This window comes from Homo sapiens, chromosome 17 (genome assembly GCF_000001405.40).
Source record: "Homo sapiens chromosome 17, GRCh38.p14 Primary Assembly".
NCBI lineage: Eukaryota > Metazoa > Chordata > Mammalia > Primates > Hominidae > Homo > Homo sapiens.
In genome coordinates, this window is record NC_000017.11 from 9,359,829 (window position 1) to 9,386,262 (window position 26,434).

General features: G+C 41.7%; 1 protein-coding gene across 4 annotated transcripts in view; it reads right to left on the reverse strand.

Moving 5' to 3' along the window:
• The window catches only part of STX8 (syntaxin 8), a 325,350-nt gene that overhangs the window by 109,358 nt on the left and 189,558 nt on the right, over nucleotides 1-26,434 (reverse strand). For 3 of the 4 annotated variants that reach the window (NR_033656.2, NM_004853.3, XM_011524079.2), the window contains one exon: nucleotides 18,724-18,825. Coding sequence is in view for 2 of the 4 variants with exons in the window: in NM_004853.3 (NP_004844.1) it covers nucleotides 18,724-18,825 (102 nt within the window). In the remaining 2 variants the exon portion in view is untranslated. Of the gene's footprint in view, nucleotides 1-18,723; nucleotides 18,826-26,434 lie in introns of those variants that run through there. The other variant, XR_934120.3, reaches the window with a different exon arrangement.

Consider the following 26,434-nt stretch of genomic DNA (forward strand, 5'->3'; position numbering starts at 1 on the left):
CTCTGGTTAATGAAATTTCAGGGAAGGGATCAAAGGTGATTTTATTTCTCTTTGGTGGGTCCTGTTTCCAGGCAGATAAGGGAGCTTCAGAGAAGAGCCTCATTCTGTGCTTTGGGAGGGACAGAGGATTGAGGGACAGGAGTGGGGAGAAGGTTAAAGAGCCCCTGAGGTGTCTTTAGTTCCGCGTGTCAAAGGGCCATTTTTTGAGGTATTGTTTCCTGAGCCTGACATACGGAACAGGATGGCACAATATTTTGAAGATGCCAAGGAATTTTGAAATTACACTATTTTAACCTTGCCATAATTTAATGGAAAGGGGGAACACCAAGTATTTCTTCATTTTTTAAATTAAAAACTTTCTATTGTGGGCAAAATACATATAATGTAAAATTAACCGTCTTTTTTTTTTTTTTTTTTTTTTTTGAGTCAGAGTCTCACTCTTGTAGCCCAGGCTGGAGTGCAGTGGTGCCATCGCAGCTCACTGCAACCTCTGCCTCCCGGGTTCAAGCGATTCTCCTGCCTCAGCCTCCCGAGTAGCTGGGATTACAGTCGTGCACCACCACGCCCAGCTCATTTTTGTTATTTTTAGTAGAGATGAGGTTTCACCATGTTGGCCAGGCTGGTCTCGAACTCCTGACCTCAGGTGATCTGCCTGCCTCGGCCTCCCAAAGTGCTGGGATTACAGTGTTGAGCTACCATCTCTACTATATTTACTCACTTTCAAAAGAACCCTTTTCTGTTTTCCTTCCAGATAAGTTATACCAGCCAAAATATCAACAAAATGGTGAAAAATCTTAATTCCCTGTCTGCAAGAAAAAAAATATTTATTAGTGTTAAAAAAAAAAAAAAAAAGACTGTAGAAATCCAAAAGTCATTTTGAAAGCAACGACCGTTTTAAGGGCCAAAAGAGAAATACGGGCTGTTTCGAGCGTGAATCAAAGTGTCAAAGAACATTTGGAGGCTGCTCGGTAGACATGCACTCTCTCAAGGACAACTGAGATGCATGCCTGACTGAGTCACGGCTGAGCACCCAGCGCTCAGCAGTCAGCTCCAGAGCTGCAGAAAGTAACCCAGTGAGACCCGCGGTGCCGGCTACAGGTCCCTGACAGCTGATACCCAACTTCAATACAAAGATCAATTTGCTGCTAGTCCAGAGAAATTGACCTTCGTGTTCAGACTCATGGGCAGAAAAAGTCAACAGTGATTTAAAAATGAACCCCAAATCAATTATTCTAAGGAATTTAACGCTGGTTCAATGACTGAAAATTGTCATTGCCTGGCTCTGAAATAGAAAGGAAAGGTGAGCCAAAAAATAAATACCGAGTCATTGGTAAGGTTCTGTTGGAGTCAATTAATGGATCCCTAGAGCTGATTAAAGAAAAAAAAATTATTAATGCAACATCTGGAGTTAAGTTATTTAAAAGCTAATACCAGGGCTTATGCCACTGAATTTCCAAGGGACTTGGCAAAGGAGAATTATCTATTTATTTTCTAAATACCACAGATTCCTTTAAATTACCCAACCTCTCTTGCTTCATTCAAACATGTGCAGCTTCAAGTGGGCGTCTACTGCATTAGATTAGATAAGTCACAAGGGCAGAGTCTCTGGACTGCAGGCGTTGCTTTGCAGTTGAGCTGCTCTCTTCACATGGGTACCACCATAATGTATGCTCCAGGGTGAAGAGCAGCAGGAGTAGGGATTTACTCACGGACAGAACAATCAATGTGGCCAACAGAGATGCTTTGTACAGAATTACTAATTAGTGCAGCAAGGTATTAATTATTATAATTTCTAAAAATATTACAATTCCATCTTTAATTTTGTTTAGTTCCATTCAACTTTTAACAGTGATTGTTTCTTGTAAGCAACGTTAGATGTCACAACTAACATGAAAGCAAAACTGTGTCTCATTCTCTGAGCACGCACCAATAACTGGCAGGAGCTGGATGCCTCTTAAACAGAGTGGCAAGCACCAGAAAGTCAGGAAGGTAATCTGATATTTGAATTTCCATTTAGACAATATCCAAAGAAGATAATCCATGTGTGATTAACTGTGACTTTAATAACCCTACAAACCACGCACGCCTCCATTTGATTCATTTTATAGTTACAGTTTTAAAGAAAGGAAAGGCATCAAATCTGTACCCAAAACATCAATTTTAGGGAACTTATTCAAAAAATTTAAAGTGTCTACCAGCTCACTTTTAAACATGTAACTAGGCTGGACGCAGTGGCTCATGCCTGTAATCCCAGCACCTTGGGAGGCTGAAGTGGGCAGATCACTTGAGGTCAGGAGTTCAAGATCAGCCTGGCCACCATGGTGAAACCCCGTCTCTACTAAAAATACAAAAATTAGCCGGGGTGTTGGCCCATGCCTGTAATCCCAGCTTCTCAGGAGGCTGAAGCATAAGAATCGCTTGAACCAGGGAGGCGGAGGTTGCAGTGAGATCGTACCACTGTACTCGGGCCTGCATGACAGTGTGAGACTCTGTCTCAACAAACAAACAAACATGTAATTAAAAACAGCCCTAGAGCTATAATGCCAACTTGGGAGAAAAACATAAGGAATCTCTATCTACCAATTACTTTTGAACACAGAACCCAGAAGTAAAGATTCTCTGTAATTCTATTCCTTTATTTTCCTGCCCTAATACATACTAAAACCTGCCAAATCTTCTCCTTATCTTCCATTAAAAATTCTCTCTCTGGCTGGGCGCGGTGGCTCACACCTATAATCCCAGTACTTTGGGAGGCCGAGGTGGGCGTATCACGAGGACAGGAGTCTAAGACCAGACTGGCTAACATGGTGAAACCCCGTCTCTACTAAACAAAACACAAAAAAGTTAGCCAGGCGTGGTGGCGGGCGCCTGTAGTCCCAGCTACTAGGGAGGTTGAGGCAGGAGAATGGCGTGAACTCAGGAGGCGGAGCTTGCAGTGAGCTGAGATTGTGCCACTGCACTCCAGCCTGGAGCCTGGGCGACAGAGTGAGACTCCGTCTCAAAAAAAAAAAAAAATAAATAAATAAATAAATAAATAATCTCTTTCTTGTTTTGTTCCAATGAGAAAAACTATATATGTTTGAAAAAAAAATTCAAATAATAAAAACACACTGAAGGTAAAAGTCTCTATTCAGGTATGATTTAACTCTGCATGTATTTAACTTGATGCGGCCACCCTGTATGATAGGAGAGGATCAGCAAAGGTCTTGCCTATTCCCCTAGCTCATAACTGATTTAGTGTGAGTGCACGTGTGTATACAGTGTGGTGGTTAATTCTCTTCAAAGGAGTATGGAAAGAGGATGACAGAGTTGGATGGAACCTCAAAGACCATCCAGTGGCAAAATACATATAATGTAAAATTAACCATCTGAGGCCAGGGATCATTGATTTTACATGTGAAAAGACATAAAGTGATTTTGCCTCTTCTCTCCCGACCCAGGCTTAGCCAGCTTTGGTAAATTCAGTCCCAACTAGAATCCAATTCTTCATTTCATTTCAATTTACGGATATAAAAGAAAAATCTATATATAAATAGTGAGCACTTGAGTGTAATGAGAACTGATGAGTTAGGCTGGGTTCACAAAATATATTCAGCAGGTATTGGGATTCTATTTCTCCCATAAGTAGGTAGACAAATAGTGTCGGGAAAGCATACTTTGAGTATGCAAAACTAAGTCTGTCCCAGGACAACTGACTGTACTTCTAAACCCAGCCCTCATTTGCTGGTCCCAGCAGGTGGGTGAAAACAGATGAATTAATTGGTAAGCAAACACTACCAGAAAACGCGTACAAACATGTACACGTACATCAGTCATATCATCAATCAAGGCCCACACGGTGTAATTATTACTCAATAAGAACAGAAACCACTCTTAGAAATCATACCTTATCTTTCCAAACCACACCAAGCAAAAACAATAATCAAAAAAAGATTCTACTCTGTGATCATTTCTGACCCCTTGATGATTGCAAAAATCACTGCCTTCTAACAGATTACAAAGAGTGTGGAGGTCTCTGAGGTGGTCACGGTGATAGCTCTGAGCCTGTCAGTCCCTATCAACCACCTTCTATTATAAATAAAGGTTTTCCAATTTTGCACTTCTCTCAAAGGCTTCAATTTGCCTGGATTAAGCTGAAGCGTCAACGTTTGAACTTACTGCTCCTATTCCCACTCCCCAAATAAATGCTGTTAGCAGAAAAACAGGCTTTTCCACAGTAGGAACTCAAAATCAAAGCAGACAACATTGATGTGGTCACATATAAACGATATTCTGACCACAAACACTTAACACGCGCATTATCCAAACCCCATGAGCAATCGCAGGGTACAGGATAGAGTGAATCTTTCAGGGCACCAAGAGAAAGAAAGGTCAGCGAGTCATACATTTTAGCTCCTGAAATGAATATCCAGCAATGCCAATATATTCATCAAAGTGCCACAGTATTCTCTTAGATTACAGAAGCAGGTCTCCTAAGAGCTTTATACTATACCATTTCACTACTTAGTATATATTATCTTCATGATGGAGAAGTCATTTATTGAAAATACTCCAGGTATGTCTGGGGAGGGGAACAGTTTAAACTGATTGAAGAAGACATGTTTAAAAATAATAATAAGAACAACTTAAGAAGAGGGACCTGCCTTATTTATCTTTGTAATAATGATAGCTAGGTAGATATTTGCTATGTTATTATTATTGTTGTTTATATTTTTTTTTGAGACAGTTTTTTGCTCTTGTTGCCCAGGCTGGAGGGCAGCGGCGCGATCTTGGCTCACTGCAACCTCTGCCTCCTGGGTTCAAGCGATTCTCCTGCCTCAGCCTCCTGAGTAGCTGGGATTACAGGTGCCCACCACCACGCTCAGCTAATTTTTTTTGTATTTTTAGTAGAGATGGGGTTCCACCATGGTGGCCAGGCTGGTCTCAAACTCTTGACCTCAGGTGATCCACCCGCCTCGGCCTCCCAAAGAGCTGAGATTACAGGCATGAGCTACCGCGCCTGGCCGGTATTTGATATATTATTATACTATAACCCTCTGGGGGTTGCAGTTTATATAAATATGGTCAAAGTTACAGTCTTTTACATTTTTCTGTACTAATAAATAGATTTCATTATTATTTTAAATGACTACCTAATTGGGACAAAGAGCCAGAAATAGGATGAGGAGAAGAGAAAGTGATGAGGAGAAGAGAAAGTGATGAGGAGAAGAGAAAGTAATGAAGAGAAAAGAGAGTTCAGAGTTAGAACAAACAGGCCTGGCGTCTGCCTAGATAGATATGAGAAAGAGAGATCCCAAAGTAGTATATTGTGACATGTTTTATTTGGCCCACATGGTATTTTTTTTATGTGAATTTATTGTCAACATTAAAATATTGGGACATTTCACTTAGAGATCCAGATTTCAGGCTTCTCTTAAACAAATAAACAGATGATGTAGGAATTCTCAGCTTGCATTCCCACTTAGTAAAAATCTGCCGTTGACGGCTCTAGTTTGCCACTGGAGATAATCCCAGCTGCCCACTTAATGCAGGAAGGTTTCCCTGTCTGGCCCTTGAAGGCATTTGAAGAGATGAAGGAAGTTTGGGGCCTGAAAAAATAGGAAGCATGGAAGAGGAAGCTTATTTTGGGACAAAGAACATGTAGACATGGAAAAGGTGTTGCAGGCAATCAAGAGAAACTAGCTAGCTGGTAGCTAATGAAGACACAGACTTGGGATTCAAGTGAGGTTTGGGTCTGAGATGTGGAACTGTGAGTTACCCATGAAGTTAAATTAAAAAAGCAGATGAAGTGGTTTAAAGAAAAGTTATCAAGGAAAAGAGAGCAGAGGACTGAGCCTTAAGTATTGTCCTCAAAAGACAGGGGGGCCACGTGAGGTGGCTCACGCCTGTAATCCCAGCACTTCGGGAGGCCGAGGTGGGCGGAACATGAGGTTAGGAGTTCGAGACCAGCCTGACCAACAGGGTGAAACCCTGTCTCTATTAAAAATACAAAAAAGTAGCCAGGCATGGTGGTGTGCACCTGTAACCCCAGCTACTCAGGAGGCTGAGGCAGGAGAATCGTTTGAACCCAGGAGATGGAGGTTGCAGTGAGCTGAGATCACACTATTGATCTCCAGCCTGGGCAACAGAGCGAGACTCTGTCTTGGAAAAAAACAAAAACAAAAAGAGAGAGAGACAGAGGAAGAGGGAAAAAATGAGAGGCCATGGAGAACAAAACAATCACCATAGGTTCCATGATCTGGTCCCAGCCTGCCTAGCTTCATTTTCCACGCCTCTCAGCAAGCAGCCTTGATCCCAGCCAGACAGGCTATGTCTTAGAGAAACCTGGTGCTGTCAATGCCTTCTTCGAATCTATTTCCCACTGCCTGGAATGCTATTTTCTCCTCTCTGCCTGTGTTACATTTTTGTTTGTTTGTTTTTTGAAACAGAGTCTCACTTTGTTCCCCAGGCAGGAGTGCAGTGGCATGATCTAGGCTCACTGCAACCTCCGCCTCCCGGGTTCAAGTGATTCTCCTGCCTCAGCCTCCTGGGTAGCTGGGACTACAGGCATGTACCGCCATGCCTGGCTAATTTGTGTATTTTTAGTAGAGATGGGGTTTCACAATGTTGGCCAGGCTGGTCTTGAACTCCTGACCTCGTGATCTGCCCACCTTGGCCTTCCAAAGTGCTGGGATTACAAGTGTGAGCCATCGCACCCGGCCTGCGTTACATTTCTATTCACCTTTCTCGAATGAGCTCGGGCCCACGCTTCACCACTATGCTATATACGTATGTAAGAAGTCTGCACTTGCAGTCTGTAACTATATACAAACAAAAATCTTTTAAAAAGCCAAAAAATAAGCCCAAGAGTTGCCCCAAATGCCCAAGAGATGCCTGTCACAGTGTCCCCTGCACCACTATCACATTGCTCTGAGTCTGCTGCCTTCCCATTTGATTGAGCCCTCCATGAGGTCAGGGACCAGGACTCCTTCATTTTATCCTCAGTGGTGTTCAATAAATGATAACAGAAAAAAGGAAGGGAAGGAATGAGCAACTGATGTGGCGGGATAAATCTTGACATAATGCTGGGTCACAGAAGTCAAGGAAGAAGAGCTATTTCTGCCAGAGAGAACCATCTCAAATATGAGAAGTTATTCCAGGAGAATGAGGGCTGATGAGAAGCACTGGATTTCAGCAAGAATCTGCCACTAATAAGGTTGGGGTGGGGGATGGTTTCTGATACTTTACTGGAAAATAACTTGGAAATATATATCAAAAGGCTTAACACTGTTTGCACCCTGAGGCTGAACAAATCTACTTGGGAAACACATCTGTAATGGACAATGTGGGTTTTTGTTTTTTTTGTTTTTTTTTTTTTGGTTTTGCTTTTTTTCCCTGTCCAGATCCAAGTTTTGTTTCTGTTTTGAAGGTGCTCCTGTTACATGACCTCTTGGTAGGGGGCGGCTTCTCACTTCCCATTGAGGATGTCAAAGCCACCAGATTCTTCCTCAGACTCCCTTAAGAGAGGCAGAGGCACCCACGTGTTCAGCAACTCTGGCCTCACCATCCAGATCACAACCTTCTTGCCAAGGACAGCTGCTCTGTCCTCTGGCCCTGCAGCTGTCACTTATCTGGGCCTCAAATAACCCTCCAGTCAGGGCCCCATGGTTATAAGGCAGCCAGAGTCTGCCTCTGATTCTGGTTCCTGGGAGTATCCTAATGGAAATCCTACCTGAGAGAAAAAGATCCTAAATATCGAAAAAAGTGCTATGCATTTCATGTAGCATGATTTACACAGCAAAATGTGGGAATAAACTAAGGCCCCCAAACCAGGAACACAGAAGTAAATGATGGTATTGCTACTTGATAAAATGGTACTCACCATTAGAAGTAAAATATAGCATAATGTTAAAAAACAGAAGGTTTGTTGTTGTTGTTGTTGAGACACAGTCTTGCTCTGTCGCCCAGGCTGGAGTGCAGTGGTAGGATCTCGGCTCACTGCAACCTCCACCTTCTGGGTTCAAGCAATTCTCCTGCCTCAGCCTCCCTAATAGCTGGGATTACAGGCACCTGCCATTAGGCCTGGCTAATTTTTGTATTTTTAGTACAGACGGGGTTTTTGCCATGTTGGTCAGGCTGGTCTCGAACTCCTGACTTCAGGTGATCCACCTGCCTCAGCTTCCCAAAGAGTTGGGATTATAGGTGTGAGCCACCATGCCCAGCCAAAAGAAGGATTTAAAAATACAGTATTATCATAATCTTGTAAAAAATTACTTGCAGAAAAGATGACTGGGAGTAATAAAACATTAGGCAAATAAGTATTTTTCCCTAAAAATTCTACTTAACTTTTAAATTACAAAAGTAATACAGGCTTACTGTAATATATTCTGAAGACATAGAAAGAAAACATTGATGGGCCAGGCATGGTGGCTCACGCCTGTAATCCCAGCACTTTGGGAGGCCGAGGAGGGCCAATCACGAGGTCAGGAGATCGAGACCATCCTGGCTAACACAGTGAAACTCCGTCTCTACTAAAAATACAAAACATTAGCCAGGCCTGGTGGGGGGTGCCTGCAGTCCCAGCTACTCGGAAGGTTGAGGCAGGAGAATGGCATGAACCCAGGAAGCATAGCTTGCACTGAGCCACTCTACTCCAGCCTGGGTGACAGAGCGAGACTCCATCTCAAAAACAAACAAACAAACAAAAGAAAACATTGATGATCCCAACACCCAGCCCCCTGCCTTACCCATGTCCTGCCATTCCCACATCACCAATGGTGACCACGTGCCCCTCCACACCTCTCTTCAGACTCTAACCAACACTGCACATGCAGGTCTCTCTCCTCCTTTTCTTTCCGTCCTCCCTCCCTCCTTTTCCTTAAGTGGGACCATAGTATATATACTCCCTGCTTATTTTGGTTTGGCTTTTCACTTACCAAACTCAGAAGCAGCTTGTCTTACTAATTCTTCAGACCTCTGCTCCTGTGTTGCAGCCTCTTGGAAACCTCTGAGCCCTTGGCTGACTCAGACCCGTCTGTACTACCTGCAGTCATTAGTGATTTACAGCATGTGTCCCCTCTCTCCTATACTCTTAAGTCCTATCTACCTTTTACCCTTTTTTTTTTTTTTTAAAGAAACAGGATCTCATCACTGCCCAGGCTGAAGTGCAGTGGCACAATCATAGCTCACCGCAACGTTGAACTCCTAGGTTCAAGGGATCCTCCCATCCCAGCCTCCCAAGTAGCTGGGACTATAGGCGTGAGCCACTGTGCCCAGTCCTATCTACATTTTTAGCTCCAGTTCCTAGCCCAGTACCTGGCACACAGATGATATCCACTATCTGTGCTGGCATGGATGAAGAAGAGAACAGATGAATGGGAAAACTTGAGGACAAGATGGTTTTGAAGGCAGATAGGCACTGATGAAGGACAAGGCATTTCTCCATTGATACTGAATTAAGGATGACACAGCGGGTACAGAGACAGACACACAAGAATGTAAAGAAAAAGGGGCCAAGAGATTTAACTAGCTTACCTCAATGAACCATGATAAGGGAAAGAAGAAGTAAAAACAATAGCCAGATAGAAATATTCTTGATAAACAGCATGATAAATAAAGGAACTGGCATAGTTCCTTCTTTGTTCCAGATTAATTGCTTATTCTTGTGGTAAAAGATTAAAAATAATTCTCTGAGAGACAAAAGTAGCTCTAAAGTCTGTTAAATAAACAAGACTACTTAGAACTCAGTTTCTTACCTATGTTTTATAAGGTTCAAAAGAGCTAATATGATAAAAAGCATGTTGGTCAGGCACAGTGTCATACATCTGTAATCCCAGCACTTTGGGAGGCTGAGGCAGGCAGATCGCTTGAGTCCAGGAGTTTGAGACCAGCCTGGGCAACATGGTGAAATCCTGTCTATAAAAAATAAAATAAAAATTAGCCAGGCATGACGGCGAGTGCCTGTAGTCCCAGGTACTCAGCAGGCTCAGGTGGGAGGCTCACTTAAGCCTGGGAGGTGGAGGTTGCAGTGAGTGCCACTGCACTCCAGCCAGGATGACAGACCAGACAGACCCTGTACCAAAAAAAAAAAAAAAAAAAAAAAAGAAAGAAAAAAGAAAAAAAGCAAGCCAGGTGCGGTGGCTCACACCTGTAATCCCAACACTTTGGGAGGCTGAGGCAGGCAATCACTTGAGGCTGGGGGGTTGAGGCCAGCCTAAGCAACATGGTGAAACCCCGTCTCTACTAAAAAATACTAAAATTAGCCAGGCATGGTGATACACACCTGTAATCCCAGCTAATTGGGAGGCTGAGGCAGGAGAATCACTTGAACTCAGGAGGCGGAGGTTGCAGTGAGCCGAGATCACACCATTGCACTCCAGCCTGGGCGAAAGAGCAAGACTCCATCTCAAAAAACAAAAATGAATTAAACCCCACATCTTATCATAGCTGGCATTTATAAAGGACTCACTAGTACTAGTCATTGTGCCACCTAACTGTTCTCACTTAGTCTACAGAACAATCACATGTACTACTAATTGCTATCCTCCTTTTAGAGTGAAGGGAACTGAGACTTAGAGAGGGCAAGCAGCTCTCTAAGTCACCCAGGCTGTAAGTGGCAGATCCCAAATTGTGCCCCAGGACTGTCGGACGCCACACCTGTGCTGCATGCTACTACTCTTAACCAGGGTCCTGCCCCACCTCCCTAAGAAGATCACATTCAGATGAGCTGAAGGCAGATCCAATGGTCGTCGATTGAGACAGCATTAATGCAATGTCAGCTGGGTTGATTTCTAACCACATCACTGAAACACTACTAAAATCACAATAAACGTGCTTAGACAACATTACGTAATAGTCAATATGCTGAGAAGCAAGACTGTACATCCACCCGAGTCATTCAGAATTCTTAGTCTGGTCTTTCACAATTGGCGCCCTCTGTCAGACTCAGACAAGGCTCTATTTTGAATTCTAATGAGGACCAAGCACACTGAATATTTAAACTGCAATTACAAAGATCCTACTTTTATGTAAATGTCCTTAATGGAAGTAACAGATCTGAAAATACATAGAGGTACCAGTGGAAAAATATCAGTCTAATTTGCATTTAGAAGCTAGAAAAAAAAAAAAACAGTATTGTTTTCTACTTGATGCTATCATTGGGGTGGGGTTGAGGGAGGAAAAGGGAGGAAAATCCACACAAAAATCTCGGTAAAAATTTTAAAGCCTGTGCTCCTGAGTGAAAGGTTCACAAAGAGGTACTTGAATCCCTTGTTAAGAACTGAACAAACAAATTCATCATCGGGCCTCTCTCCTGTGTGGCCCCTTGCAGTTCAGTCTGTATTCATAACTAGAAATTCTCTCACTGCTCAAGCATCTATGACTGATACATCGGCCCATCAAGGAAGATATGCCAAGGGTAGCGAAACAAAAGGCCATTTCATGATTCACAACCTATTTTTACACTCCTTTGTGTAAAATGATGATGTGGCGGCTGCTATCCACACTGCACCCAAGTCCTCTTAAACAGTGATAGAATTGCCCTGTGAATGGTAATTGAGTTACACTCCACTGGGCTGCTTAATTCCCACCCCCTATAGTTAAAGTACACCTTGCTTGCAGTTTGATTATGCATTTGTATGTGTTCATATATAAAACAGCCAATGTGGCTTTGCACTTGAGAAGAGCAGGTGGTTAACTCTTCGCTGTATCTCGAAGCTCTTGCACCAACCCTCTGCCCCTCAAACGCCTTTCTTATTAAGATCATAATTTAACTGCCTAGCATTTGGGCATTCTCTTCAAGATGCTAACATTTATCAAATGGATTATGCTTTTTTTTTTTTTCTTTCTTCTGGTTTGTCCTCTGGTTGATTCTTTCTTCTGCTGATACCAAATATGTTCACTGGATTTTTTAATTTCAGTTACCTGTTATTTCTAGAAGTTCTATCTGGTCCCTTTTCAAAATTTCTGTGTTACTTATTATAGTTTTCGGGTTTCTTAAGATGCTTTCAAGCTTGTCATTTTTAAAATATATTTTAAAAAGTGGAATTGAGTTTATAATCAACGTCTGATAATTCTACTACTGCAATTCTGTTCAGATTCATGTCCATGGTCTATTGCTGGTCCTCACTCATGCTGTGCTGTTTCCGGGTATGCTAGAATATATTTGACTATGTGCTGGTCATTGCCCTTAGAAATTTATTTTTAGTTGGCTCCTAGCATCCTAGAATATGCTTTCCTCCAGAGGCATTTCATTTGTTTTTGCCAGGCACCTCGAGCTATAACAGGTGAGTCTGCCTCAAACCAAATTCATGGTATGATGTTTCCCGGTCTACCCTGAGTATGTATGTCCAGGGGGCAAATTCACATGTGGGCCTTTCTGTGACCACAAGTTGTCAATACTGTATTTTCCCTCCCGTCTTTTTCTTCTCCTATTCTGCTCAGTGCCAACGCTGCCCTTTCCACAACCCCCCATGGTAAGTTTAGTTCTGGTTCACTTTTACTCTGAGGGTGTAGCTCTTTGGGGTCCCAGTTTCTTGTGGGAAGGGTCTCCCATGACATTTCCTAATTAGAGTGGGTGCCCAGGGACTAAATTTCCACCCCATTTGCCTGCCCCTCTCAGGCTACAGAAGTGTCTGGCTTTATCAGATTAAAAAAATTATTTTTATTTTTATTTATTAATTTTTTTTCTGAGATGGAGTCATGCTTTTTTGCCCAGGCTGGAGTGCAGTGGCATGATCTCGGCTAACTGCAATCTCTGCCTCCCGGGTTCAAGCGATTCTCCTGCCTCAGCCTCCCAACTAGCTGGGATTACAGGCACGCACCACCACGCCTGGCTAATTTTTGTATTCTTAGTAGAGACAGGGTTTCAACATGTTGGCCAGGCTGGTCTTGAACTCTTGACCTTGTGATCCACCCGCCTCGGCCTCCCAAAGTGCTGGGATTACAGGCATGAGCCACCACGCCCAGCCCTCATTTTTTTTTTTTTTTTTTTTTTAAGGAAAATACTGAAAAGTGGGCCAGGCGCGGTGGCTCACGCCTGTAATCCCAAAACTTTGGTAGGCTGAGGTGGGCAGATCACCTGAGGTCAGGAGATCGAGACCAGCCTGACCAACATGGAGAAACTCTGTCTTTAACAAAAATACAAAAATTAGCCCAGCGTGGTGGTGCATGCCTGTAATCCCAGCTACTCAGGAGGCTGAGGCAGGAGAATAGCTTGAACCTGGGAGACGGAGGTTGCAGTGAGCTGAGGTCATGCCATTGCACTCCAGCCTGGGAAACAAGAGCAAGAAGACTCCATCTCAAAAAAAAAAAAAGAAAAGAAAAGAAAAAGAAAAAGAAAAAGAAAATACTGGAAAGTACCTAAGAGTTTAGAGGCTGAAAGCAAAACCAAGCCAGGCTAATATGAAGGTTCCTCAAACATTTAAAAACTGAATTACCATTTTATCCAACAACTCCACTTCTGTATATATACACAAAAAAGGAAAGACTTGAGCAGCTATTTGTACAGCAACATTTATGGTGGCATTATTCACAATAGCCAAAAGGTGGAACAACCTGTGTCCACTGACAAATGGATAAACAAAATGTGATATATACATAAAATGGAATTATTATTCAGCCTTACAAAGCAATGAAATTCTGATACACACTACAACATGGATGAATCTTGAAGACATCACCCTAAATAAGCCAGATATAAAAGTATACATATGATCCCGCTTACAATAGGTACCTAGAATAATCATATCTACAGAGACAGAAAGTAGAAAAGTAGTTACCAAGGGCTGAAAGAGGGAGGAATAGGGAATTATTGTCTTGGATAAATTTCAGTTTGGGATGTTAAAAAAAGTGGCTGGGCGCAGTGGCTCACACCTGTAATCCAAGCACTTTGGAAGGCCGAGGAGGGTGGATCACCCGAGGCTGGGAGTTTGAGACCAGCCTGATTAACATGGAGAAACTCTGTCTCTACTAAAAATACAAAATTAGCCAGATGTGGTGGCGCATGCCTGTAATCCCAGCCACTCAGGAGGCTGAGGCAGGAGAATCGCTCGAACCCGGAAGGCAGAGGTTGCAGTGAGCTGAGATTGCACCATTGCATTCCAGTCAGGGCAACAAGAGCAGAACTCTATCTAAAAAAAAAAAAAAAAAAGTTCTGGACAGCCTCGGCCACGAAGTGAGACTCTATCTCTAGAATTTCTTTTTTTTAATGCCACTGAACTGTACATTTAAATGTAGTTAAGATGGTAAATTTTATGCTATATATATTTTACCACAATTAATTTTTTTTTTTTTTTGATGGAGTCTCACTGTGTCACCCAGGCTGGAGTGCAGCGGCACGATCGCGGCTCACTGCAACCTCTGCCTCCCAGGTTTAAGCGATTCTCCTGCCTCAGCTTCCCAAGCAACTGGGACTACAGGCGTGTACCACCACGCCTGGCTAATTTTTGTATTTGTAGTAGAGATGGGGTTTCACCATGTTGGCCAGGTTGGTCTTGAACTCTTGACCTCAGGTGATCCACATGCCTCGGCCTTCCAAAGTGCTGGGATTACAGGCGTGAGCCACCATGCCCAGCCAAAAGAAATTTTTTTAAACAGGTCAGGTTAATTTTGCCAAGAGTTGCTAGACCTACTCAGTAAGTTCCACAATATGCTTTGTGTTCACAGGCATAATATTGATCAGTTGAAGGCTTAAAAGGAAATTCCTGAGAGGCTTAAATACTTGACTGACCCCCGTACAGCTTTAGAGACCACATGCTGACCTTCATCGACATGCAAAAACTAGCACTGCATGTCAACAAATGCATATATAAAATGCAAAAATTGTCCTGTAAAGGTATCAGGCATAGGAAATAAGTACAGTTACTTGGTTGTTGATCCATAATACTGATAAAATTATTAAGTAAATATTACAAAAAGAATTGAAGAAATAACAGAAATAATGATCTCTAAAGTATTTCCATTAAAAGAATAAAGAGGTTGGGCGCGGTGGCTCACACCCGTAATCCCAGCACTTTGGGAGGCTAAGGTGGGCAGATCACCTGAGGTCAGGAGTTTGAGACCAGCCTGGGCAACATGGTGAAACTCCATCTCTACTAAAAATACAAAAATTAGCTGGGTGTGGTGGTGCACGCCTTAATCCCAGCTACTCAGGAGGCTGAGGCAGGAGAAATCACTTGAACCTGGGAGGCAGAGGTTGCAGTGAGCTGAGATTGTGCCACTGCACTCCAGCCAGGGTGACAGAGTGAGACTCTGTCTCAAAAAAAAAAAAAAAAAAAAAAAGAAGAATTTTCTTTTTTCAGTATCTACTTAACACTGCTATACTGATGAACTTCTCCCTTTTGAATCATTACATATAATTCTGTGGCAGATAATATATACATATATAATTAAATAAAATGAGGCATGAGATAAATGTATAGTTATTTTAAAATATGGACACAAGTTTTCCAAACGTATTTTAGTACTTCTGGGATTCCTTAAATTCTTTTCTATTTTCAAAAAACAACACTTAAGAGTCCAGCTCAGAAGACATTATGACACTTCTGGGTAAAAATACTACACACCAGATATTAACATCAAATTAAAAACTGGCAACAGTGTAAGAAATATTCCACATTCATTATGACTTCATGAGTGGCATGTGCTGAGTTACTATGTTGCAAACACAAAAACTTGCCAACATGTCTATGAATATATTCATTCCAAACTAGCAACATAATTGCTGAGAACAACAAAAACAACATATATAACATTGTATGTCTTCCTGCTCTAGACATATAGTAACGAGAGCTAATACCAGTACTTGCTCACCGCACACAATGTACCAAAGATGGTTTTAAGTGATATATATATGTTAGGTTGGTGCCAAAGTCATTGCAGTAATGGCAAAAACCACGTTTACTTTTGCACCAACCATATACATATATACCCACATACACATACATACATATATATATTACATACACGCAATCATTTATTTCTCATAACAATCCTTTGAGGTCTATATCTCTATTATCCCCATTTCAAAGATGGGAAAATCGTGGCAAAAGGGAGTTTAGGCTTTCCTGAGGTCACGCAGCTAGAGAGAGTTCGTGAAGCTCGGGTGTGAGGCCAGGCTCTAGAGCTCACTCTCATGATATCTATGCTCTGGCACCTCTCACATACGTATGGAAAGCTGGGGGAGGTGGCCAGCACTGGACACTTTACATAGTCCATACAACTGAATTTTGATAACCAAATTCTCCGCTTTCTTATAATTAGGAAACTGAGGCCCAGATTAAGAGAGAGGTGGAAGTGAACTCATATTGAGAGGTGAAGCCGGCTGGACTTCTGGGTCGGGTGGGGACTTGGAGAACTTTTCTGTCTCACTAAAGGATTATAAACACACCAATCAGCGCTCTGTGTCTCGCTAAAGGTTTGAAAACGCACCAATCAGCACTCTGTAAAAAATGCCCCAATCAGCGCTCTGTGTCTAGACAAAGGTTTATAAACACACCAACCAGCATGCTGTAAAACACACCAACCAGCACGCTGTAAAAATGCACCAATCAGTGCTCTGTGTCTAGCTTAAGGTTTGTAAACGCACCAATCAGCACTCTGTAAAAATAGACCAATCAGCACTCTGTAAAATGGACCAATCAGCACTCTGTAAAATGGACCAATCAGCACTCTGTAAAATAGACCAATCAGCAGGACATGGGCGGAGCCAAAGAGAGGAATAAAATCAGGCCACCTGAGGCAGCAACCCTGACCCGCTCGGGTCCCCTTACATGCTGTGGAAGCTTTGTTCTTTCACTGTTCACAATAAATCTTGCTGCTGCTCACTCTTTCGGTCCGCACCACCTTTGTGAGCAGTAACACCGGCTGCAACGGTCTGCAGCTTCACTCCTGAAGTCAGCGAGACCACGAACCCACCGGAAGGAAGAAATTCCGGACACATCTGAACATCGGAAGGAACAAACTCCGGACACACCATCTTCAAGAACTGTAACATTCACTGCGAGGGTCCACAGCTTCATTCTTGAAGTCAGCGAGACCAAGAACCCACCTGAAGGAACCAATTCCGGACACAGTATCTCTCATCTTTAAAGTTTCAGGATCTATCATAGATAACAAAGTCCCTGTGGCCAGAAGTTATGGGAGAAGATTGATAAAGCAAAAACTGAGGACCAGAAGCACAGGGCAGGATGGTCGGGCAGGACAGTGGTGATAAAGGGTCTCAAGGAGACCCCATGGGGCTCCACTACCTCTGAGCTTGCAGAGTCTCTATGTGCCTGACCCTCTCTCACCCCATTGTTCTAGCCTTCTTTCTTACTGAGCAAACACAGCCAGGGAAGGTGATGCTTCTGAAGCTGCACATCTCAGGGACCCTTGCCCAGAGCTTCCAAAGTGGACAGATGGAGAGGATCCATTACATTTTTCATATTAAAAAGGCTGAAAGTTTGGCAAAGTATGTTCTCAGATCTCTAGGTTTTTTTTAAATTGCTTTTGTAATTCTTTTTTTTTTTTAAAGACACAAGGTTTCACTCTGTCACCCAAGTGGAAGTACAGTAAGACAATCATGGCTCACTGCAGCCTCAGCCTCCTGGGCTCAAGTGATTCTCCTGTCTCAGCCTCCCAAGCAGCTAGGACTACAGGCACATACCACCATGCCTGGCTAATTTTTAAAATTAATTAATTTTGAGACAGGGTCTCACTCTGTCACCCAGGCTGGAGTGCAATGGCACAATCTCAGTTCACTGCAACCTTCAAGCAATTCTCCCTCTTCAGCCTCCCAAGTAGCTGGGACTACTACAGGTGTGTACCACAATGGCTGGCTATTTTTTTGTATCTTTAGTAGAGACAGGGTCTCGCCATGTTGCCCAGGCTGCTAATTTTTAAATTTTTTATAGAGACAGAGAGGTCTTGCTATGTTGCCCAGGCTGGTCTCAAACTCCTGAGCCACTGCAGGTGGCCTGTGATTCTAGTTTTCATAAATATGTCAGCTTTATAATCTTGGTGCACCCTTGTGAGACGAAGCACCCAAAAACAATTACTGTGATTACTACTGCTATTCCCATCATTTATCATCACGTACCTTTGGGCAAGGCACTGTGCACCGGCAATACACAATTTAAACCTCACAAAAGTCTGCATCAGAATTTCTGCAGAACAAGCACCTGCAGCAGAACTGCTTGGTACACTTGTTAAATAATGAACATTCTTGAACTCCACCCTAGATCTACTCAATCAGAATCCCCAGGGGAGGGCCTCAGGATCAGTATTTTAAGCAAGCCCTCCAAGCGATTCTTATCTTGGCATATGAATCCCCATTTTACATACAAGGTATCAAGAGGTAAGGTGACTTGACAAAGATACCATCACTAAACATAGGATTTGAACTCAATTAAGCTTGTGGTTATTTTAAGACGGCACAAAAGCAAGTGAGATCCCCTTTAAAACCCGCCAACCAGTATAATGTTATACAATTTCCCAAACCATTAATCTCTGTAAACACACAGAAAGGACTTTTAAATTAAAAACAAAAACAACAACAAAAAAACAATGAATGATATGCCCTTTGAACTCCATTTCATTTTGACCAGATTTAACCATTGTTTAGCAATTTCAGTGCTTCATCAAATGGAACTGCCTGTATCAGAAGAGCAACCAAATCCCCACAGTAATTAGACAAACAGGAAACTCAGAGCAGAGTAAATCCACAAGCTATGACAGAAACAGAGCCATAACGTAGCTATCTCTTACCACAAGAGGCTGACTTTCTGTCCACCATGTTTACCCGCCTGGTTTCATTGCGAAGTTTTTCATCTGTGTTCTCCACTAGGTTGGCAAGGTCGTCAATTATCTCTAGAAAGGAAACATACATGATTACTATTCCTGAAATACCCCGGTTCACATCACAGTATCACAGCTGTGGTTGTTCATCCTAGCAATAATGATCTCGAGTGCAGTAACTGAAAAGGTACAGAACTCATGTCGATTCTTTGAAAACTGCAATTCTGATTGTAAAAGGAAAAAAAAAAGCAGTAGTAAAGAAGAAAACTGATTTAACACAATTCCAGCAGACAGGAGAAATGCCACATTCAGAGGAAAGAAAGCATGACCTGCCGAATTTATGCCTAGCCAAGCTGTCATTCAAGTATAAAGGAACAGACAGGCCAGGCACGGTGGCTCACGCCTATAATCCCAGCACTTTGGAAGGCTGAGGAGGGAGGATTGCCTGAGGTCAGGAGTTCGAGACCGGCCTGGCCAACATAGTGAAACCTTTTCTCTACTAAAAATACAAAAATTAGCCGGGTGTGGTGGTGTGCACCTGTAATCCCAGCTACTCGGGAGGCTGAGGTAGGAGAATCGCTTGAACCCGGGAGGCAGAGGTTGCACTGAGCCAAGATCACGCTGCTGCATTCCAGCCTGGGTGACAGAACAAGACTCCATCTCAAAAAAAAAAAAAAAAAAAGGAACAGACGGCACAGTAGACTTCAGGGACTACCTGGGCCCTTCTTGAGAAAACTACATGATGAAGAAATCTAGCCAATCAAAAGATAAATAAAGAGATGATGGAGAGAACCAAATCCATTTAAATACTGGACTAAGAGTAAACAAATACGTGGATTAGATAACAGAAAGGTACAGAAAGGTCACAACAGTACAATGTAATTCCAACTGAAAAATTAGTCAGTGGTTGCGAGTGGGGAAGGAAGGTGAAAAGAAATTGAAAGTGCTAATTTCTTCATCTCTCGCAACGAGGCATATCGAGCAGTTGAAAAGTTAATCATACAGAAACTTGTAGCCTTTTAAAATCACCAAAACTTTAATGTTTTTTGTTAAGCTTGAGGGATCTTTTAGTAATTACTATCTCTTGTAAAGAATCCTTGATGTGGGCTGGGCACGGTGGCTCACACCTATAATCCCAGCACTTTGGGAGGCCGAGGCAGGAGGATCACCTGAGGTTGGGAGTTCGAGACCAGCCTGACCAACATGGTGAAACCCCGTCTCTACCAAAAATACAAAATTAATCGGTCATGGTGGCGCATGCCTGTAATCCTACCTACTCGGGAGGCTGAGGCAGGAGAATCGCTTGAACCAGGGAGGTGGAGGTTGCAGTGAGCCGAGATTGCACCACTGCACTCCAGTTTGGGCGACAGAGAGAGACTCTGTCTCAAAAAAAAAAAGAAAAGAATCCTTGATGTGAAATTCATTTCTTTTTTAATTCTAATCTTTTTAAGTGAAATTGAGCCCTTCACAACATTTAAAATAGCATATATAGTATAGTACGATCTTAACTATGTAAAATTATTTGTATCCATCTTTTTATATTTACAAACCTATAGGGGTATATGTGGATAATATTAATCTAATGCTACTAATGATTATTTCTAGATGGTGGGATCCTGTGTGACTGCTGCCTTCTTCCTTGCATTTTTCTGTGTTGTTTGAATTTCTGTGTGTTTTTTTTTTTTTTTTTTTTTTGAGAGAGAGGGTCTTGCTCTGTCACCCAGACTGGATACAGGGTACCACAATAGCTCACTGCAGTCTTCAAGGCTCTAGCAATCCTCCCATCTCAACCTCCTGAGTAGCTGAGACTGTAAGCATGTGCCACCACTCCCAGGTTATTGTTTAAATTTTTTGTAGAGACCAGGCCCTGCTATGTCACCCAGGCTGGTCTCAAACTCCTGGCCTCAAGAGATCCTCTTGTGTCAGCCTCTCAAAGTGTTAGGATTACAACCATGAGTCACTGTGCCTGGCCTGAATTTCTTACAGTGAGCCTATATAGTCATGTGCCACATGACATTTCAGTCGATGACCGACCACATCTACGACAGTAGTACCATAAGTGGTACAGTATTATAATGTTATAATACCATATTTTTACTGTACCTTTTCTATGTTTGGATACAGAAACTTTTTTTTTTTTTTTTTTTTTTAGAGGGAGTCTCACTCTTGTCGCCCAGGCTGGAGTGCAGTGGTGTCATAGCAGCTCACCACAACCTCTGCCTCTCAAGTTCAAGCGATTCTTCCGCATCAGCCTTCCAAGTAAGTGGGATTACGGGTGCGCACCACCCGTAATTTTTGTATTTTTGTATTTTTAGTAGAGATGGGGTTTCACCATGTTGGCCAGGCTGGTCTCGAACTCCTGACCTCAAATGATCCACCCACCTCGACCTCCCAAAGGGCTGGAATTACAGGCGTCAGCCACTGCACCCGACCATATTTACCATCTTGTTACAACTGCTTACATGCAATAATATGCTGTACAGGTTTTCAGCCTAGGGGCAATAGGCCATACCATACATATAGCCTAGGCATGCAGCAGGCTTTACCATCTAGTTTTGTGTGAGTACACTCCATGATGTTCGCACAATGAGAAAACTACCTAACAACACATTTCTCAGAACATATCTCTGTCAAGGGATTTATGACTATTATATTTTTCATTTTGTTTTTTTTTTTTCCTCCCTCCTTCTCCCTCCTTCCTGTTTTTATAGTGACTGCTTTGGAGATGTGCTGTTCAATACCAGTCACCATTTTTCTTAAAGCATTAAGTAAAGCAAACAAGGAAATCAAATAAAGTTTCCAGAATGATGTGTGAGCTAAATTCTGAAGGCGACATGGGTGAAAAAGCAGGAAAAAGGCAACCCATGCAAAAAGAATAGTATCTGAAAGGCACAAAGGAGTTGGGTGCTCCTGCTTCTTGCCTCCTGCAGCACTTCCTACAAACCTCTTATTTATAGACCGTATAGTTATATTCTATCGATTTGTTTACATGTCTTTAACAGGAAGATTATGATACAAACTAATTTTTATTCATCCTTATACCTCCCACCCCTAGGAGAATGCCTTGTATACAGCAAGATAAAATAAATATGAAAAGATAAAGACAATGAATGGGCTGGTGGCTCACGCCTGTAATCCCAGCACTTTGGGAGGCCGAGGCGGGCGGATCACAAGGTCAGGAGTTTGAGACCAGCCTGGCCAACATGGTGGAACCCCTTCTCTGCTAAAAATACCAAAATTAGCTGGGCATGGTGGCGTGCGCCTGTAATTCCAGATACTTGGGAGGCTGAGGCAGGAGAATTGCTTGAACCCAGGAGGTGGAGGTTGCAGTGAGGTGAGATCGCATCACTGTACTCCAGCCTGGGTGACAGAGCAAGACTCTGTCTTGGGGGAAAAAACAAACAAACAAACAAACAATGTCCTAACTTATCCTTGTTTCTAGTCCTGATTCATTTTAATTCATTTTCTATACAATACTCAGAACATATTTTAATTCTCTCATATTTCAATGAATTAAAATATAAATAGCTACATGTATCGAACAACTCAGCTCTAAAGCAATAACTTAAAAAAGAAACCAAGAAAACACTCACACACACACACACACACACACACATATGCCCTGCCAAGAGGTATAGTTTTAAAATAAAAATTAACAGAAGAAATAAAATTACATACTAAAAATGTATGATTCAGGAAAGGGGTAAAGAGGAACAAAAGATAGATGGGATGAAAGGAACAGAAATACAATATCTATCTGGCATGCTTAAATTCAACTATATCAATAGTCACATTAATGTAAACAGACTAAACTTTTCAATTAAAAGACAAAGGGTATCACGCAAGATTTTTTTTCTTTTTTAAATTATACTTTAAGTTCTAGGTACATGTGCACAACGTGCAGGTTTGTTACATAGGTATACATGTGCCATGTTGGTTTGCTGCACCCATCAACTCGTCATTTACATTAGGTATTTCTCCTAATGCTATCCCTCCCCCAGCAAGATTTTTAAAAAAAGATGACACAACTATATACTTTGCTATGAAACTCACTATAAAGCATAGTGTTTGTATGAGAAAGGTGGCAAAGCTATATTAATATCAGACCAGACAGACTTCTTGAAAAGGAGTATTATTAGACATAAAAAGGAACTTTTCATCATGATGAAAGGACACATGTCAAAAATGGGAAATTCTGTCATATTTGAAAATTAAGGAAAACACTTCTGATTTCCCCACAGGGCAAAGATGAAACCACAAGAGAAAGCAGAAAGCAGAAAGAAGGACAACTGCTATAGACTGGATGTTGGTGTGCCTTCAAAATTATGTTGAAGCCTCATCACCAGTGTGATGACATTTGGATGTGGGGCCTTTGGGAGGTGAATGGTGATGAGAGTAAAGCCCGTATGAATGAACGAATCCTGTTCCATGCATGAGATTTATGACCTTATAAAAGAGTTCCTAGAGAGCATCCTCATTTCTTCCACCATGTGAAGTTACAATGAAGACAGCTGTCTATGAACCAGGAAACAGATCCTCACCAGACACCAGATCTGTAGGCACCTTGATCTTGACTCCCCAGCTTCCACAACGGTGAGAATTTCTATTGTTTATAAGCCAGCCAGTTGATGGCATTTTAATATAGCAGCTTGAATAGAACAAGACAACAACCTAGCACAAAAGTTTTTAGGATGCTACTAAAGCACGACTTATGGAAGTTTAGTGCTCTAAATGCATATATTAGTAAAGAAGAAAGATGTGAAATCAATGATCAGACTCAAGGAGCTAATAGTATGATCATCTCAATAAATGCAGACAAAGGGTATGACGAAATTCAGTGTCCATCCATGATACAAATTATCAGCAAAATAGAAACGAAAGGGAACTTCTTCAGCCTGAGGAAGGCTATCTATATTTAAAACTCTCAGAGCTAACATCATACTTACAGGTGGAACATGGAACATTTTTTATCTAAGATCAGGAACAAGGCTATGACGTCTATTCTGACAGCATCTGTTGAACATTTTATTAGAAGTCCCAGATTGTTCAATAAGGCAGGGGGGAAGAAAGCAAAAAGGTATGAAAGGGAGCTGTAAAGGTGCATTTGCAGATGACATGATTGTACACCCAGAAAACGATAAAGTCTATTTAAAAACTACTAGAACTAGTAAGTAAATCTAATAAATTTGCACATACAGTCAATAGTAAAAGGCAATATATTTCTATATACCAGTGATAAAGAACGGAGAAAAAATAAAAGTAAAAAAATCCATTATAACGGCATCAAAAGCCATATTACATACTCAGAAATAAATCTAACTGAAGATGTGTAAGACCTCTATAATAAAAACTATAAAACATTGCTGGGAGAAATGAAAGAAGGCCTAAAAAAAGGAGAACTGGCCTGACCCATATGGTAGTTCTATCTGTGGTTTTCTGAGGAACCCCCATGCTGTTCTCCATCATAGCTGTACTAGTTCACATTCCCACCTACAGTATAAAAGAGTTCCTTTTTTTCTCCACATATCCTCACCCTCATTTGTTATTTTTTTTTTTTTCATATATTGGTTGCTCATTTATAAGAGAGAACACGGTATTTTAAAGATACTGGTTCATTTTTTTTTCAATTGACAGATATCGTACAGAATTTTATACATTGAATGCAATCTTAATCAAAATTCTAGCAGGCTTTTAAAATGAAACCTGCAAGCCAATTCTAAAATTTACAAAGAAAATTATTTAGAATAACCAAAATAATCTTAACAAAGAAAAACAGGCTGGATGCGGTGGCTCACGCCTGTAATCCCAGCACTTTGGGAGGCCTAGGCGGGTGGATCATGAGGTCAGGAGATTGAGACCATCCTGGCTAACATGGTGAAACCCCGTCTCTACTAAAAATACAAAAAATTAGCCAGGCGTGATGGTGGGCTCCTGTAGTCCCAGCTACTCGGGAGGCTGAGGCAGGAGAATGGCATGAACCCGGGAGGCGGAGCTTGCAGAGAGCCAAGAAAGGCACCCACTGCACTCCAGCCTGAGCAACAGAGCGAGACTCCATCTCAAACAAAACAAAACAAAACAAAACAGAACAAAACAAGTTGGAGGTATTATGTTACCAAAATTCACAATTTATTATAAATATATACTAATCAAGAGAGTCTGATATTAGAATAAGGACAAACACATCAATGGAACAAAACAGAGTCCAGATAGACTTGTGTGTGTGTGTGTGTGTGTGTGTACATGCACACACGCACGTGCTCAATTCTCAACAAAGGAAAGAAAATTCTTTTCAACATATGGTGCTGGAAAAACTGGATATATGTATGAGGAAGTAAAAAACCCCTCAACCCTTTTCTCTCCATACCAAAAAAAAAAAAAAATTGTGATGGTTCATAGACTTAACTGTAAAACCTAGAACTGTAAAGCTTCTAAAAGAAAAAAAAAAAAGAGAGAAAATTTTTATAGCCTGGAGTAGGTAGGCAAAAATTTCTTGGACAGGACATAAAAAGACTATCCACAAAAGAAAAGAGATTGGTCAATCTGATTTAGCAAATCCTCAAAGGAAGTGATTTCTAGATTTTGTGACATCCTGATGCTCTGGGCATAGTATTCTTCCTAAAATGTAATGGGAGGACTTGGACACATGGCTTCAGTCTTTGTCTCATCAGCATTGAACACAGTTCTGTTTATATATAGTAGCATATGTAAAAGTGGACATTTTTATGATCCACGCCTCATTCTCTATCAAGAGAAATTTTCTGTTCATCCAAAGATACTATTACAAAAATTAATAAATAAGCCACAGAATGGTAGAAAATATTTGTAGAACATATATCTGACATAGTATTTGTATCTAGAGTATATAAAGATCTCCTACATATTAACAATAAAGAAAAGCTAACTTTAAAATAGGCAAAAGATCTGAACAGATGTTTTACAGAAGAAGATATACAAATGGCCAATAAACACATGAAAAACAGCTCAAATATTGTTAAGTCATTAGGGAAATGCAAATTTCAACCAAAATAAGATACTGCTTCACACTCACTACAGTGTGCAAACTAAAGACTTACAATACTAATTGTTGGGGGAAAATATGGCACAAAGGGCGCTGTACAAGTATTTGTCAATTCTCATCAAGTTAACCATATATCTACCATCTTACCCAGAAACTTTACTCCTAGGTTTTTTGTTTTTTGTTTTTTGAGGTGGCATCTTGCTCTATTACCACCCTGGAGCTGGAGTGCAGTGGCACGATCTCCGCTCACTGCAACCTCCGCTTCCGAGTTCAAGCAATTCTCCAGCCTCGCCCTCCTGAGTAGCTGGGATTTACAGGCACGCGCCACTGCGCCTGTCTAATTTTTGAATTTTTAGTAGAGACGGGGTTTCACCATGTTGGCCAGGCTGGTCTTGAACTCCTAACCTCAGGTGATCCACCTGCCTCGGCTGGGATTACAGGCATGAGCCATCATGCCTGGCTCACTCCTAGGTATTTACCAAACGGAAATAAAAGCCTATTTCTCAAAAAAAAAAAAAAAAAAGCCTGTACAAAAATATACATAGCAACCTTATTCATGAGGGCCCCAAACTAGAAACAACCCAAATATCCATCATTAGGAGAACAGAAAAGCAAATTGGGGTATATCTGTTAATGGAATACTATTCGGCAATAGAAAGCATG